We start from the raw sequence: 3298 nt of genomic DNA, 5'->3' as shown, positions 1-3298 counted from the left end.
GCAGATCACCTGAGGTCGGGAGTTTGAGACCAGTCTGACCAACATGGAGAAACCCTGTCTCTACTAAAAAAACATACAAAATTAGCCAGGCATGGTGGAGTGCACCTGTAATCCTAGCTACTTGGGAGGCTGAGGCAGGAGAATCACTTAAACCAGGGAAGTGGAGGTTGCAATGAGCTGAGATTGTGCCATTGCACTCCAGCCTGGACAACAAGAATGAAACTCCATCTCAAAAAAAAAAAAAAAATTAGCTGGGCATGGTGGTGTGCACCTGTAATCCCAGCTACTCAGGAGGATGAGGCAGGAGAATCATTTGAACCTGGGAGGCCAAGGTTGCAGTGAGCTGAGATTGCACCATTGCACTCCAGCCTAGGCGACAGGGTGAGACTCTGTCTCAAAAAGAAAAAAGAGAAAAGAAAAAGTGTATCCTACTGAGTCTCTGCTCAATAAACATCAACACATTTTTTTTTTTTTTGAGACAGAGTCTCACTCTTGTCGCCCAGGTTGGAGTGCAATGGTGCCATCTTGGCTCACTGCAACCTCCACCTCCTGGGTTCAAGCTTCTCTTGCCTCAGCCTCCTGAGTAGCTGGGATTATAGGTGCTCGCCACCATGCCCGGCTAATTTTTGTACTTTTTTAGTAGAGACAGGGTTTCGCCATGTTGGCCAGGCTGGTCTGGAACTCCTGACCTCAGGTGACCCACCTGCCTTGGCCTCCCAAAGTGCTGGGATTACAGGCGTGAGCCACCATGCCCGGCCAACACATATTTTTTTAAGAGACAAGTTTCACTGTTACCTAGGCTAGAGTGCAGTGGCATGGTCATAGCTCCTTGCAGCCTAGAACTCCTGGGCTCAAGCAATCCTTCTGACTCTGCCTCCTGAGTAGCTAGAACTATAGGTACACACCACCCTGCCTGATTAATTTTTTTATTTTTAGAGATGAAGGTCTCACTATATTTTTCAAGCTGGTTTCAAATTCCTGGCCTCAAGTGATCCTCCTGCCTCAGCCTTTGAAAGCCCTGGGATTATAGGCATGAGCCACCAAATCCAGCAATAAACATCAATACTTTATTTATTTTATTTTTTGCTGGGCATGGTGGCTCACGCCTGTAATCCCAGCACTTTGGGAGGCCAAGGGGGGTGGATCACGAGGTCAGGAGATCGAGACCATCCTGGCTAACACGGCAAAACTCTATCTCTACTAAAAATACAAAAAATTAGTTGGGCATAGTGGCAGGCGCCTGTAGTCCCAGCTACTCGGGAGGCTGAGTCAGGAGAATGGCATGAATCTGGGAGATGGAGCTTGCAGTGAGCCGAGATTGCACCACTGCACTCCAGCCTGGGTGACAGAGCGAGACTCCATCTCAAACAAAACAAAACAAAACAGACTTTGACGGAGTTTCACTCTTGTTGCCCAGGCTGGAGTGCAATGGCACGATCTTGGCCCACCGCAACCTCCACCTCCTGGGTTCAAGTGATTGTCCTGCCTCAGCCTCCCGAGTAGCTGGGACTACAGGCATGTGCCACCACACCCGGCTAATTTTGTATTTTTTTTTTTTTTTTTTTTTTTTTTTTAGTAGAGACGGGGTTTCTCCATGTTGGTCAGGCTGGTCTCGAACTCCTGACCTCAGGTAATCTACCCGCTTTGGCCTCCCAATGTGCTGGGATTACATGTGTGAGCTACTGAGCCCGGCAAATATCAATACTTTTAATATATGGGTAAACTGCTTGGCACATATTGTGTGCTCAATAAATGTAAATAATTTCTTTTTTTCTTTCTTTTTGAGAAAAGTGCTCGCTCTGCTGCCCAGGCTGGAGTGTAGTAGCATGATCTTGGCTCACTACAACCTCCGCCTCCTGGGCTCAAGTGGTCCTCCCAAGTAGCTGGGACTATGGGCACAAGCCACCACAGCTGGCTAATTTTTGTATTTTTGTATTACAAGCATGAGCCAGTGTACCTGGCCAATAATTTCAAAATGTTCTTTTCTGGCTATAAAAATGAATCACTTTAAATATTAAAAATAGTCCAGTCGCGATGGCTCACGCCTACAATCCCAGCACTTTGGGAGGTCAAGGAGGGTGGATCACCTGAGGTCAGCAATTTGAGACCAGCCTGGGCAACATGATGAAACCCCATCTCTACTAAAAATACAAAAAATTAGCCGGGTGTGGTGGCGGGCACCTGTAATCTCGGCTACTCGGGAGGCTGAGGCAGGAGAATCACTTTGAACCCAGGAGGCGGAGGTTGCAGTGAGCCGAGATTGCATCATTGCACTTCAGCTGGGGCAGTAAGAGCGAAACTCCATCTCGGGGGAAATAAAAATTTAAATATAGGCTGAGCATGGTCACTCATGCCTGTAATCCCAGCACTTCGGGAGGCCGAGGCAGGCGGATCACGAGGTCAGGAGTTCGAGACCAGCCTGGCCAACATGTCGAAAACCCATCTCTACTACAAAAATTAGCTGGGCGTGGTGGCATGCACCTGTAATCCCAGCTACTTGGGACGGTAAGGCAGGAGAATTGCTTGAACCCAGAGGGCGGAGGTTGCAGTGAGCCAAGATTGTGCCACTGCACTCCAGCCTGGGCAACAGAGCAAGACTCCGTATCGAAAAAATTAAAAAATAATAAATACATATTATGGAAAAGAGAACCCTACATATCCTTTTTGATTCTTTTTTAGTGCAGAATAGTGATCCTCAAGCAAGGATGATTCCACTCTCCTACTCTGCCCCAGGCCTTAGGGAACAATCGCCATGTCTGGAAACAATTTTGATTGTCACAACTGGAGTGGATGGTGGTGCTACTGGCACCTAGAGGGATGAGGCCAGAGATGTTGCTAAACATCCTACAGGCCGGGTGTGGTGGCTCATGTCTGTAATCCCAGTACTTTGGGAGGCCAAGATGAGCGAATCACTTGAGGTCAGGAGTTCGAGACCAGCCTGGCCAACATGGTGAAACCCCATCTCTACTGAAAATACAAAAATTAGCCAGGCGTGGTGGCACATGCCTGTAATCCCAGCTACTGGGGAGGCTGAGGCAGGAGGATTGCTTGAACGTGGGAGGTGGAGGTTGTAGTGAGCCAAGATCACACCACGGCACTCCAACCTGGGTGACAGACCAAGATTCCGTATCCCTCTCTCTCTCTCTATGAAGTTTTAGCCAATGTGACTAGGCATGAAACAGAAATTGAAAATTTCTGCATCCAAACTGGAAAAGAAGGAATAAAATGATCTCTGTTTGCAGATGACATGATCTTATACATAGAGTATCCCAGAAGTTACACACATGTCCACAGAAGC

The sequence above is a fragment of the Homo sapiens genome, chromosome 19 (genome assembly GCF_000001405.40).
Source record: "Homo sapiens chromosome 19, GRCh38.p14 Primary Assembly".
Taxonomy (NCBI): domain Eukaryota; kingdom Metazoa; phylum Chordata; class Mammalia; order Primates; family Hominidae; genus Homo; species Homo sapiens.
This window is presented reverse-complemented; position numbering follows the sequence as displayed.